The sequence below is a fragment of the Homo sapiens genome, chromosome 9, assembly GCF_000001405.40.
Source record: "Homo sapiens chromosome 9, GRCh38.p14 Primary Assembly".
Lineage (NCBI taxonomy): Eukaryota > Metazoa > Chordata > Mammalia > Primates > Hominidae > Homo > Homo sapiens.
In genome coordinates this window covers 32,956,713-32,970,956 of record NC_000009.12, presented here as the reverse complement: position 1 = coordinate 32,970,956, position 14,244 = coordinate 32,956,713, and the positions used below count along the sequence as shown (strand labels likewise).

Below are 14,244 nucleotides of genomic sequence, written 5' to 3'. Positions count from 1 at the left end.
AATCTTCATTTTAAACCATTCAGGATGAACTTGATTTTATTGATGTTTGAGAACCACAATATAAATGAACCTTTGGCTTCAAAGCACCTTGCATTTCTGAAGCTTATGGATTTGGCTGTTCCCTGCCAGGACACAAATAGCATTTTCTGGTTAGCTGCCTGGGCCTGTCATAGGTCTGCCTTCCCTCTGCTGTGTCAGGGTTATTTCAGAGTCTGGGGAGACCTCCGGCATTAGCTGAAGGGGAGTCCCTCGTTACAGGGATCAGCCCTTCCTTTCTTCAGGAGTTTGGCAGAGCTCCTTTGGCCCCAGGCTCTTAGGAGCCATGTCTGGAGATGACTTCCCCTCAGTTGCTCCCGTTCCCTCTTCATGCCCAGAGATCAGTCCAGTGGCTTGGTCTGGGACCTGTAATGAACGCTGCCAGCCTTAGGCTCAGAGCGTAAGTATTTTTCCTTCTCTGGGCCTGTCTCTGAGATACCCAGGTACAAATGGTCCTTGTAGGGACTAGATCATACTTGAGATGGTAGTTAAGGATGTCTTTAGATTCAGGGATATTTTCTAGAGCCTGGCATCTGATAGTCACACAGACTGGACATGGCTGGATATCAGAGAGTTAGGACTCATCTGTCAGTGTTGGCCTAAATGCTTCCCTCTGCTTCCAACAACTCCAACTTGGAGGGAGACTTTCGCAGGGCTCTGAAGATTCTACCATAGACTAATTTTTAAAAATGTGATGAAAGCCGTGAAACCTCTTCAGCATAATGAATATTTACACATTTTGTATATGTTATCAGGGAATTTATGGAGCCACTGACGTGCTTCCATAGGGTCTGTGGACCCCAGTTTAAGAATCTCAAGAGAAAAGGGTCATTACCATGCATCTGGGATATACAGGAGGGGTCTCAGGTCACTGTGGAGGACTGGCGCCCACCACCATGCCTGGCTAATTTTTATATTTTTAATAGAGATGAGGTTTCACCATGTTGGCCAAGCTGGTCTCAAACTCCTGAGCTCAAGTGATCTTCCCACCTCAGCCTCTCAAAGTGCTGGGATTACAGGCGTGAGCCACTGCGCCAGGCTTTTTTTTTTTTTTTTTTAAATATTTTACCAACCAAGAAGAAGCATTGTAGTTCTGGCAGCCACAAGTTGAAAGCTGACACAACCCACTGCCCCCACCCCCAACTAGTACTGTTTGACATTTATTGGAGGAAAAAAACTATCATTTATTCACATTGAAGAATTAGTTACTGGCCAAAGACCTTTTGTAGAATCTTCTCCAGAAACTGTGGGAGGTCCTCCTAGAATGCTAGTTGGAGTTGCCAGGGTCCAGAGGCACCTCCATGTCCTGGGTCACCAGACCACCAGCCTTTGCGGCTCTTTCCCCAGCTGCATTCTGGAGGTAGGAAGCTGGGCCCAGGGCAGAGAAGGGGGCATCTGGGGATGTCTGAAGAGCCAGTTGAGCAGCTGAATCACAGGCATTCTCTAGGTTACAAATACATTGCTCAGAGACTAGGACTGCTTTCGAGAACCCACAAAGTGGAAGATGTTCATGACAAAGCAAGAGGGTCAATAGGTCAAATACTAAAATGTGTTCCCTCCAGCTGGCCAGGCATTAGGAAAGAGACCCAAGATGTGGGAGGGAGGCCCCAATAGGTATCTGAATCCCCCACATCCCCGCAGTAGCTCAAAGCCTCTATGTCCCCTTTATGTGAATGAGAAAAGGCATGCCCTGCAAGCAGAAGCTTTTAGCTCACACTCACTTGAGACTGAGGGCCACATAGGGTGCAACCGTACGTACAATCTTACGGTGTGGGGTCCCTGTTTCTCATGAGGTTCTCTAGGAAAGGTAGTTTTTTTGGTTCTCCATCATGTACCCAACGAAATTAAAAGAATATGGAACAAAACAGCCTTGCAATAAAATTTCGTTGAGTGAATGACACCTGTGTCAATACACTTGGAATGGATGTAGAAAAGATAACTTTTTCTGTTACATCTGAATTTGATTGGCAAGCATGTTGTCCAGTGAGTCTGCATCTTTGCCCTTAGAAACAGTTATTTTTATTTTTTAAATCCCTTTTTTTCACAGGTGTTGATCTTTAATTTTTTTTATTTAAACATTTTTTCTTGCCTTCTTCATTTTTCCTTCATATGACTTTGGAAACATTCTGATAAACATCTTACTGCCATTGTTTATGGGAAAAAAGTATATCTTACAGGTTAGAATTAGTGGAACATAAGCATGTTAATATTTTTCCACAGAATTTTCCAAATCTTTGCTAACAAAGCAAGTGATTAGGGAAACTGGGGTTTTCCGTATCTTTTCTGTGAATGGTCTATTTTCGGGGCTTGCCATGTTTGGCCACCAGATGGCAGCATTTGAACAATAAATTTTTAATTGTCTTCCACAAGACAAAGCTGTTTTTGAAGCCCTTTTATAAAGTATCTTATGTTTCAGAATCAATGCTTCAAAATAAAATATTTAAGGGGCTTTTAAAATAAGACTGATGTGTGTTTAACGTATCTCCTAATTAAGATAGAAGTTTGAGGGAAAACCAGTGTGTGGGTCAAAATACAAAACATACACGATTGACTGGGAGGCTGTTTGGCTGAGAGGTGAAATAGACTCTAAAGTTGGCTGGAAGCTGGGCGCGATGGCTCACGCCTATAATCCCAGCACTTTGGGAGGCTGAGGCTGGCGGATCATTTGAGGTCAGGAGTTCGAGAACAGCCTAGCCCCTAGCCAACATGGCAAAACCCTGTCTCCACCAAAAATACAAAAATTAGCCAGGTGTGGTGGCACGCGCCTGTAATCCCAGCTACTTGGCTGGCTGAGGCACGAGAATCGCTTCAACCCAGGAGGCAGAGATTGCTGTGAGCTGAGATCGTGCCATTGCACTCCAGCCTGGGTGACAGATCAAGACTGTGTCTCAACAAACAAACCCCAAAAAACATTCTTTCTATTAAAAAAAATAATAAGTTGGCTAGAGCCAAGGTTGAAGCCTGATTCTGGCAATCATGAAATGGGTCTTGGGGCATGTCAATGCATGGTAGGCATTGAAAATATGCTGGCAAATTTTCTTAATTTGACCCCAAGTTAGTGACTGTTGTTCACATCACAAGAATACCTGGGAGTAGCACTGGTAGCAGACACTTCTTTTGGGCATATTCTTCAAAAATGGCATCATTTTTACATCGACAATTGCTAAGTCGCTGGTGGTCAAATATTAGAGGAAGCACTGTCAAAGCAGGACGGTCAATATACAGAGAAGGTAAAGGGCTGTGTCTGCATTTTCCATGGGCCAGCTTCCCCGCAAACCTCCTTTTGATAGAAGAACCTAGCTTCATCTGTCTTCCATCTCTTCCAAGCCTTCTGTCTTTTAAGCAGGCAGAATAAAAGCTCCAATGCCAAAGAGTACAAGAATATTAAAATTGAAAAGGACTTTATGTACCAGGGGTCCTGACATTTTGAGGGAGTCATAGATCCAAAATTTGGTGAAGATGATAGCCCCTTTCCCATATGTTTTGCATGTAATTTCAAGGGAAGCACCCCAAAAATCAATAATCCATGGATTTTCTAGGGCAGGTCTTCTCAGCTGGTGTGCGTGTGTGTGTGTGTGTGTGTGTGTGTGTGTGTGTGTGTGTGTGTGTGTGTATCCCCTAGATTCTAATTATTTTGAACCAACTGGCAGTCCTTTTTTCCAAACTACACACAGAAAGTCACTCTGCTACCACTGGGCATCTAATCTCTCTGGTGCTTTGGGGCAAAGTTTAATCTCTTGCCTGGAGAATCTATCAGAACTCTTTATTCTAGTAGCCTCTGATGTTCCATTGAGGGATTTGAAACATAGAAGTGACTTATAATATCAGCAACCAACTTATGTCCTAATTAAACATCAAGAGTGCTTGCATTCCCAAATTCATGCTGGGAGAGAATATACTAAAACGTTAATTAGCGGTCCTCTCTTGGTGGTAAGAATGTGGATAATTTAAATTGTGTTATATTGTTGTGCACGCTTCTAAATTAGCTACAGTGAATACATATTTGGGAGTGTGAAAAAAGCCTCAAATTTTATTTTTAAAAAGTGATAGGTCACAAAGGAATGTAATCAACATTCAATTATTTATATTAATAGCTGATACAACAAAAAGTGGCTAATTTTTTTTTTTTTTTTACAAATAATGCCAGTTCCATTCGAGTGTTCTGTGGCCCTCCAGAGACAGGCATCCTGCAAGGCCAGATTTCAAGACCAAATTTGCTTGAGTCTGAGAATGACACACGTGAAGGTAATTCATTTGATCTGATGGATCTGATATTCCTAACACTAGATCTAGAAAAATAGTGGCTTTTTCTCTGTTTGCCCCTAACCTCAATGTCTGCGAGACACCAACTACATTTTAGTTATTCAAAATTGCTGTCCATAGCAACTTTCTGTTTGTACTTACAAATGCCTTTCACCACCCATTGAGATCCCATGATTTCCCTTGTAAATTATGTTGATATGAAATGTTACATTTGGTTTCCAAATACTGAACCACCTTGAATTCTGGGGGTGAATCCTCTTGGTTCCCTAGGGCTTCTCTTTCAGTATTGACTTTGACTCTGAAACATTCGTGATGGGATGGGTTTGGGGAATAAGATTTATAGATTGATTTATGTATTTGGCCTGGTCCCCAGATTTTAACAAAAGTATCAGGAAAAGGGGAAGAAAAGATGGAAAATGAGAAGAATGGTTAGAATTTTGGCTTGTTGGATCAGTTCCCAGAACATCCTTTGTGTTAGAGAAATCAAGTAATGGGAGAAGTGGAAAGAAAACAAAAAAGTTAGTGAAGCTAAACCAATCTACATAGTGAAGACAGAAGGGGGTGAAGGACTGAAAAAGATAGGTGAATATTTGGGGCAGACTTTGAGGCATCTGGGAAGTGGGAGCTTTGGAGGGCTCTGGGAGATTTGGGGAAAAGAAGGGGATTTGAAGAAGGGTTGGTCTCTCTGGGTATAAATGAGTCCCTTTTAATATATTTTTGAGAGACAAACAAAGATTATATACTTGATTAATTTTTTTTTCTTTTTTTGGTAGAGACAGGGTCTCACCATGTTGCCCAGGCTGATCTTGAACTCCTGGCCTCAAGGGATCCTCCCATCAGCCTTCCAAAGTGTTGGGATTATAGGCATAAGCCACTGCACCTGGCCTTTTTGGCCACATTTTGACTTCTGTTGTTCCTATTCCAATTTCTCATTTCTTGCATTTTGTATTTCTTCTTTTTTTCTTGATAATATTTGCTAGATGTCTGCTTATAAAACGCTGTTTTTTAGAAAAGTAGGTTTTCTTTATAACTCTTATTTTTGCCTTTTCTTTTGCTTTAAAAAAAAACTTTTGAGTCAAAGTTCATATACTTTAATATTAAGAATTTTCTTTTGGCTGGGTATGGTGACTTACACCTGTAATCCCAGCACTTTGGGAGGCTGAAGCAGGCAGATTGCTTGAGCCCAGGAGTTCGAGATCAGCCTGGGCAACATGGTGAGACTCCATCTCTAAAAAAAAAAGTTAAAAAATTAGCTGGGTGTGGTGGCAAACACTTGTAGTCCCAGCTGCTCAGGAGGCTGAGGTGAGGATTGCTTGAGTCTGGGAGGTCAAGTCTGCAGTGAGCCGTGGTCATGCCACTGCACTCCAGCTTGGGTGACAAGCTGGAGTCTCTTTTGGGTCTCAAAAAGAAAAAAAAAGAATTTTATTTTTATGATGAAATAAATTTTTAAAAATAATGAAAATATTTATGGCTATAAATTGAATGTTGGGTTGGACCTGAGATTTACAGAGACTGCCTTGGCTGTTGATAAGAAGAAAATACTTACTCTAGTTTCAAGACCTGAACCATCAGGTTTTCTTGTTTCCATCAGAGAAGTCACATGTCAGGATGCTTAAGTGTAGGATAAGGCTTTGCTCCTTGTATATTTCACAAATTTTTTTTTCTTTTTTCTTTTTTTGAGATGGGTTCTAACTCTGTCACCTAGGTTGGAGTGCAATGGCATGATTATAACTCACTGCAGCCTTGAACTCCTGGGTTCAAGTGATCCTTCCACCTTAGCCCACAAATATTGTTTCTTCCTATTTTCTTATACATGAGTAGCCTTCTACCCCCGAGCACAGAAACACAGGATCTGCTATTAGTCTTTTATACTTCAGCATGATTTTACAGATCACTATTATCTTTTCCAGACAGGAATTTGCATTTCAATTCTTTTTGTACAACAAAAAGCTTTGTCCTCAATTGAAGGATTTTTAATTTTAACGAAGTCCAATTTTTACATTTTATCTTTTGTAAATTGTATTTTGGTGTTGTAAAGTCATTGCTAAACTCAAGGTCACCTAGATACCTAGATTTTCTCCTATATTATCTTCTAGGAGTTTTATACTTTTATGTTTTATATTTATGTCTGTGATCCATTATGTCTATGAGTTAATTTTTGTGAAAGGGGTAAGATTGTTATTTAGATTCATTTCCGTGAATGTCCAGTTGAAGCATTTTTAAGCATTATCAGATGGGGAATATTTTTTTTTTTAGTGAGAAAAGACATTTATTTTCTTATGTAAAACATATATTGCATATAACAGTAATAATGACATAAGTTGATTTATAAAGAAGGCAAAAATAAACAATATTCAGAATAAAAAGCTGATAGCAGTAGAAATTTAAAAATTGAAAACTTTTTTTTTTTTTTTTGAGACGAAGTCTCACTCTTGTCCCCCTGGCTGGAGTGTGATGGCACAATCTTGGCTAACTGCAACCTCCACTTCCCAGGTTCAAGCAATTCTCCTGCCTCAGCCCCGCGAGTAGCTGGGATTACAGGCATCTGCCACCATGCCTGGCTAATTTTCGTGTGTGTGTATATATATATATATACACACACACACATATATGTATATACACACACACATGCATATATATATACACATATATATACACACACATGTATCTACACATACATACACATATATATATATATACATTTATTACACTTTAAGTTCTAGGGTACATATGCACAACGTGCAGGTTTGTTCCATAGGTATACATGTGCCAAGTTGGTTTGCTGCACCCATTAATGTCATTTACATTAGGTATTTCTCCTAATGCTATCCCTCCCCCAGCCCCCTACCCCACGACAGGCCCTGGTGTGTGATGTTCCCCACCCTGTGTCCAAGTGTTCTTATTGTTCAATTCCCACCCATGAGTGAGAACATGTGGTGTTTGGTTTTCTGTCCTTGTGATAGTTTGCTGAGAATGATGGTTGCCAGCTTCATCCATGTCCGTGCAAAGGACATGAACTCATCGTTTTTTATGGCTGCATAGTACTCCATGGTGTATCTGTGCCACATTTTCTTAATCCAGTCTATCATTGATGGACATTTGGGTTGGTTCCAAGTCTTTGCTATTGTGAATAGTCCTGCAATAAACATATGTGTGCATGTGTCTTTATAGTAGCATGATTTATAATCCTTTGGGTATATACCCAGTAATAGGATCACTGGGTCAAATGGTATTTCTAGTTCTAGATCCTTGAGGAATCACCACACTGTCTTCCACAATGGTTGAACTAGTTTACACTCCCACCAACAGTGTAAAAGCATTCCTATTTCTCCATATCCTCTCCAGCATCTGTTGTTTCCTGACTTTTTAATGATCGCCATTCTAACTGGTGTGAGATGGTATCTCATTGTGGTTTTGATTTGCATTTCTCTGATGACCAGTGATGATGAGCATTTTTTCATGTGTCTATTGGCTGCATAAATGTTTTCTTTTGAGAAGTGTCTATTCATATCCTTTGCCCACTTTTTGATGGGGTTGTTTTTTTCTTCAAAATTTGTTTAAGTTCTTTGTAGATTCTGGATATTAGCCCTTTGTCAGATGAGTAGATGGCAAAATTTTTCTCCCATTCTGTAGGTTGCCTGTTCATTCTGATGGTAGTTTCTTTTGCTGTGCAGAAGCTGTTTAGTTTAATTAGATCGCATTTGTCTATTTTGACTTTTGTTGCCATTGCTTTTGGTGTTTTAGTCATGAAGTCCTTGCCCATGCCTATGTCCTGAATGATATTGCCTAGGTTTTCTTCTAGGGTTTTTATGGTTTTTAGGTCTTACATTTAAGTCTTTAATCCATCTTGAATTAATTTTTGTATAAGGTGTAAGGAAGGGATCCAGTTTCAGCTTTCTACATACGGCTAGCCAGTTTTCCCAGCACCACTTATTAAATAGGGAATCCTTTCCCCATTTCTTGTTTTTGTCAGGTTTGTCAAAGATCAGATGGTTGTAGATGTGTGGTGTTATTTCTGAAGCCTCTGTTCTGTTCCATTGGTCTATATCTCTGTTTTGGTACCAGTACCATGCTGTTTTGGTTACTGTAGCCTTGTAGTATAGTTTGAAGTCAGGTAGCATGATGCCTCCAGCTTTGTTCTCTTTGCTTAGGATTGTCTTGGCAATGCAGGCTCTTTTTTGGTTCCATATGAACTTTAAAGAAGTTTTTCCCAATTCCGTGAAGAAAGTCATTGGTAGCTTGATGGGGATGGCATTGAATCTATAAATTTCATTGGGCAGTATGGCCATTTTCATGATATTGATTCTTCCTAACCATGAGCATGGAATGTTCTTCCATTTGTTTGTGTCCTCCTTTATTTCATTGAGCAGTGGTTTGTAGTTCTCCTTGAAGAGGTCCTTCACATCCCTTGTAAGTTGGATTCCTAGGTATTTTATTCTCTTTGTGGCAATTGTGAATGGGAGTTCACTCATGATTTGGTTCTCTGTTTGTCTGTTATTGGTGTGTAGGAATGCTTGTGATTTTTGCACATTGATTTTGTATCCTGAGACTTTGCTGAAGTTGCTTATCAGCTTAAGGAGATTTTGGGCTGAGATGATGGGGTTTTCTAAATATACAATCATGTCATATGCAAACAGGGACAATTTGACTTCTTCTTTTCCTAATTGAATACCCTTTATTTCTTTCCCTTGCCTGATTGCCCTGGCCAGAACTTCCAACACTATGTTGAATAGGAGTGGTGAGAGAGGGCATCCCTGTCTAGTGCCAGTTTTCAAAGGGAATGCTTCCAGTTTTTGCCCATTCAGTATGATATTGGCTGTGGGTTTGTCATAAATAGCTCTTATTATTTTGAGATACATTCCATCAATACCTAGTTTATTGAGAGTTTTTAGCATGAAGGGCTGTTGAATTTTGTCAAAGGACTTTTCTGCATCTATTGAGATAATCATGTGGTTTTTGTTGTTGGTTCTGTTTATGTGATGGATTATGTTTATTGATTTTCGTATGTTGAACCAGCCTTGCATCCCAGGGATGAAGCCAACTTGATCATGGTGGATAAGGTTTTTGATGTGCTGCTGGATTCAGTTTGCCAGTATTGAGGATTTTTGCATCGATGTTCATCAGGGATATTGGTCTAAAATTCTCTTTTTTTGTTGTGTCTCTGCCAGGCTTTGGTATCAGGATGATGCTGGCCTCATAAAATGAGTTAGGGAGGATTCCCTCTTTTTCTGCTGATTGGAATAGTTTCAGAAGGAATGGTATCAGCTCCTCTTTGTACTTCTGGTAGAATTTGGTTATGAATCCGTCTGATCCTGGACTTTTTTGGTTGGTAGGCTATTGATTATTGCCTCAATTTCATACCCTGTTATTGGTCTATTCAGAGATTCCACTTCTTCCTGGTTTAGTCTTGGGAGGGTGTACGTGTCCAGGAATTTATCCATTTCTTCTAGATTTTCTAGTTTATTTGCATAGAGGTGTTTATAGTATTCTCTGATGGTAGTTTGTATTTCTGTGGGATCAGTGGTGATATCCCCTTTATCATTTTCTATTGTGTCTGTTTGATTCTTCTCTCTTTTCTTCTTTATTAGTCTTGCTAGTGGTCTATCAGTTTTGTTGATCTTTTCAAAAAACCAGCTCCTGGATTCATTGATTTTTTTGAAGGGTTTTTTGTGTCTCTATCTCCTTCAATTCTGCATTGATCTTAGTTATTTCTTGCCTTCTGCTAGCTTTTGAATTTGTTTGCTCTTGCTTCTCTAGTTCTTTGAATTGTGATGTTAGGGTGTTGATTTTAGATCTTTCCTGCTTTCCCTTGTGGGCATTTAGTGCTATAAATTTCCCTCTACACACTGCTTTAAATGTGTCCCAGAGATTCTGGTATGTTGTGTCTTTGTCCTCATTGGTTTCAAAGAACATCTTTGTTTCTGCCTTCATTTCATTATTTTCCCAGTAGTCATTCAGGAGCAGGTTGTTCAGTTTCCATGTAGTTGTGCAGTTTTGAGTGAGTTTCTTAATCCTGAGTTTTAATTTGATTGCACTGTGGTCTGAGAGACAGTTTGTTGTGATTTCTGTTCTTTTACCTTTGCTGAGGGGTGCTTTACTTCCAACTATGTGGTCAATTTTGGAATAAGTGTGATGTGGTGCTGAGAAAAATGTATATTCTGTTGATTTGGGGTGGAGAGTTCTGTAGATGTCTATTACGTCTGCTTGGTGCAGAGCTGAGTTCAATTCCTGGATATCCTTCTTAACTTTCTGTCTCGTTGATCTGTCTAATATTGACAGTGGGGTGTTAAAGTCTCCCATTATTATTGTGTGGGAGTCTTAGTCTCTTTGTAGGTCTCTAAGGATTTGCTTTATGAATCTGGGTGCTCCTGTATTGGGTGCATATATATTTAGGATAGTTAGCTCTTCTTGTTGAATTGATCCCTTTACCATTATGTAATGGCCTTCTTTGTCTCTTGATCTTTGTTGGTTTAAAGTCTGTTTTATCAGAGACTAGGATTGCAACCCCTGCTTTTTTTTTTTTTTTTTTTTTGCTTTCCATTTGCTTGGTAGATCTTCCTCCATGCCTTTATTTTGAGGCTATGTTTGTCTCTGCATGTGAGATGGGTCTCCTGAATACAGCACACTGATGGATCTTGACTCTTCATCCAATTTGCCAGTCTGTATCTTTTAATTGGGGCATTTAGCCCATTTACATTTAAGGTTAATGTTGTTATGTGTTTATTTGATCCTGTCATTATGATGTTAGCTGGTTATTTTGCTTGTTAGTTGATGCAGTTTCTTCCTAGCATTGATGGTCTTTACAATATGGCATGTTTTTGCAGTGGCTGGTACCAGTCGTTCCTTTCCATGTTTAGTGCTTCCTTCAGGGGCTCTTGCAAGGCAGGCCTGGTGGTGACAAAATCTCTCAGCATTTGCTTGTTTGTAAAGGATATTATTTCTCCTTCACTTATGAAGCTTAGTTTGGCTGGATATGACATTCTGGGCTGAAAATTCTTCTCTTTAAGAATGTCGAATATTGGCCCCCACTCTCTTCAGCCTTGTAGAGTTTCTGCCGAGAGATCTGCTATTAGTCTGATGGGCTTCCCTTTGTGGGTAACCTGACCTTTCTGGCTGCCCTTAGCATTTTTTCCTTCATTTCAACCTTGGTGAATCTGACAATTATGTCTTGGAGTTGCTCTTCTCAAGGAGTATCTTTGTGGTGTTCTCTGTATTTCCTGAATTTGAATGTCAGCCTACCTTGCTAGGTTGGGGAATTTCTCCTGGATAATATCCTGAAGAGTGTTTTCCAACTTGGTTCCACTCTCCCTGTCACTTTCAGGTACACCAATCAGATGTCGATTTGGTCTTTTCACATAGTCCCATATTTCTTGGAGGCTTTGTTTGTTTCTTTTTACTCTTTTTTCTCTAAACTTCTCTTCTCGCTTCATTTCATTCATTTGATCTTCAATCACTGATACCCTTTCTTCCACTTGATCGAATTGGCTACTGAAGCTTGTGCATGCGTCACGTAGTTCTCGTGCCATGGTTTTCAGCTCCATCAGGTCATTTAAGGTCTTCTCTATGCTGTTTATTCTAGTTAGCCATTCATCTAACCTTTTTTCAAGGTTTTTAGCTTCCTTGCTATGGGTTCGAACATCCTCTTTTAGCTTGGAGAAGTTTGTTATTACCGACCTTCTGAAGCCTACTTTTGTCAACTCGTGAAAGTCATTCTCCGTCCAGCTTTGTTCTGTTGCTGGCGAGGAGCTGTGATGCTTTGGGGAGTATAGGCGCTTTGGTTTTTAGAATTTTCAGCTTTTCTTCTCTGGTTTCTCCCCATCTTTGTGGTTTTATCTACCTTTGGTCTTTGATGTCGGTGACCTACAGATGGGGTTTTGGTGTGGATGTCCATTTTGTTGATGTTGATGCTATTCCTTTCTGTTTGTTAGTTTTCCTTCTAACAGTCAGGTCCCTCAGCTGCAGGTCTGTTGGAATTTGCTGGAGGTCCACTCCAGACCCTGTTTGCCTGGGTATCACCAGCGGAGGCTGCAGAACAGCAAATATTACAGAACAGCAAATATTGATGCCTTATCCTTCCTCTGGAAGCTTCGTCCCAGAGGGGCACCTGCCTGTATGAAGTGTCAGTCAGCCCCTACTGGGAGATGTCTCCTAGTTAGGCTACACGGGGGTCAGGGACCCACTTGAGGAGGCAGTCTGTCCTCAGAGCTCAAACGCCATGTTGGGAGAACACAGGTCTCCAGAGCTGTCAGACAGGGACGTTTAAGTCTGCAGAAGTTTCTGCTGCCTTTTGTTCAGCTATGCCCTGCCCCCAGAGGTGGAGTCAACAGAGGCAGCAGGCCTTGCTGAGCTGTGGTGGGCTCCACCCAGTTCAAGCTTCCCCAGCTGCTTTGTTTACCTACTCAAGCCTTAGCAATGGCGGACGCCCCTGCCGCTGCCAGGCTGCTGCCTCACAGGTCGATCTCAGACTGCTGCGCTAGCAGTGAGCAAGGCTCCGTGGGCGTGGGACCCGCCAAGCCAGGCGCGGGATATAATCTCCTGGTGTGCCATTTGCTAAGACCATTGGAAAAGTGTAGTATTTAGGCGGGAGTGTCCCATTTTTCCAGGCACAGTCTGTCATGGCTGCCCTTGGCTAGGAAAGGGAAATCCCCTGACCCCTTGGGCTTCCTGGGTGAGGTGATGCCCTGCCCTGCTTTGGCTCACCCTCTGTGGGCTGCACCCACTGTCCAACCAGTCCCAATGAGATGAACCAGGTACCTCAGTTGGAAATGCGGAAATCACCCGTCTTCTGTGTCGATCACGCTGGGAGCTGCAGACTGGAGCTGTTCCTATTCGGCCATCTTGGAACCAAGCGGAAATTTTTTAATATAAAGTGTTTCCTCCTCTCCCAATGTCCCATGTCCCTAATAATGAGAATTTGTGATTACAATAATTTTAAGAGGAAAGAATACAGTTGCTAGCAGAAAGCCATGCAAATTAGGGAGACTGGAGTGTGAGATCTCCCCCCTCCTCCAGCTGTTTTTCTTCTACTGACAGCTGGCAGCAGGGTGGGGTTACAGGAGCCTCTGCCTTCTCTGGGCTGGATGTGTCAAACCTTTCTAACTCCAAGGAAACCATCAGCAGAGGCCCCCTACTTCCTGCCTGTGTCTGTCTGCCAGTATGCAGACACCATGAGATAGGAGCAGTGCTCAAAGAACTATGCATTTGCTTTGGTATCTTAATCCCAAATCCACTTCAAGATTTGGGGGAAAATGAGCAACCTCCAGTGTTAAGTGTGAAAAGTCAGTTCTTTGTGGAAAGCATGATTGAATTTTCACAATTGAGGAACTTGTCACAGTGTGTGATCTGCCCAGAGGCACTCTCCAAAACACCAAAAATTCTCCAGGAATGTTTTCATCTTTTTGAAACTCCAGTTTGCATTTCCAGGAGCCAGGCTGACCTGTGTGCACAGTGTTCTGTAAAGGCAGTTTGTTTTTTCAGTTAAAGGTGGTGGGAGGAACACTGGAGTGGTGTCCACTGTTGAGAAAGAGATGGGAACTCATTCCTGAAGGAAAGATGGGCGTAGAGAGCATTAGGCTGCCCAGGCATGTGGGCAAGCAGTGAGAACAGAAGTCTTTGGGGACAAAAGTCCTGTGCTAGATTTGCCAAGAGAAATATCAACTGATCTCTTTAAAATGAGATCCCTCCCACCCCCTACATGGGGCCTGGAAAATGTGGTCTGCTAGGTATGGAGACACCAAATAAACAGTACTGAGGCTCCCTGTGTGTCAGTCACCACCCCTGGCAAATGCCAAAATGCCTCACTTTGCTCGAGGAATTTACAACTCAAGGTGTTTGTGTCACAGGCCAAGACGGGAGTGGAGGATCTGTCCATCAGAGGACAGAATGCTTCCCCTATGCCAAGGCGCCTCCTCTTGTATTCACGCACAGCATTTTCCTGAAACTGGT

At 41.4% G+C, this 14,244-nt stretch overlaps 1 annotated feature.

The window, feature by feature from the left end:
• Nucleotides 12,266-13,465: an enhancer, noted in NCBI's record as "BRD4-independent group 4 enhancer chr9:32957490-32958689 (GRCh37/hg19 assembly coordinates)". NCBI's record gives its function as "activates an origin of replication core promoter dependent on BRD2, P300/CBP, MED14 and CDK7 cofactors, and independent of BRD4, by STARR-seq in HCT116 cells {active_cell/tissue: HCT116}" and the evidence as "EXISTENCE:reporter gene assay evidence [ECO:0000049][PMID:35650434]".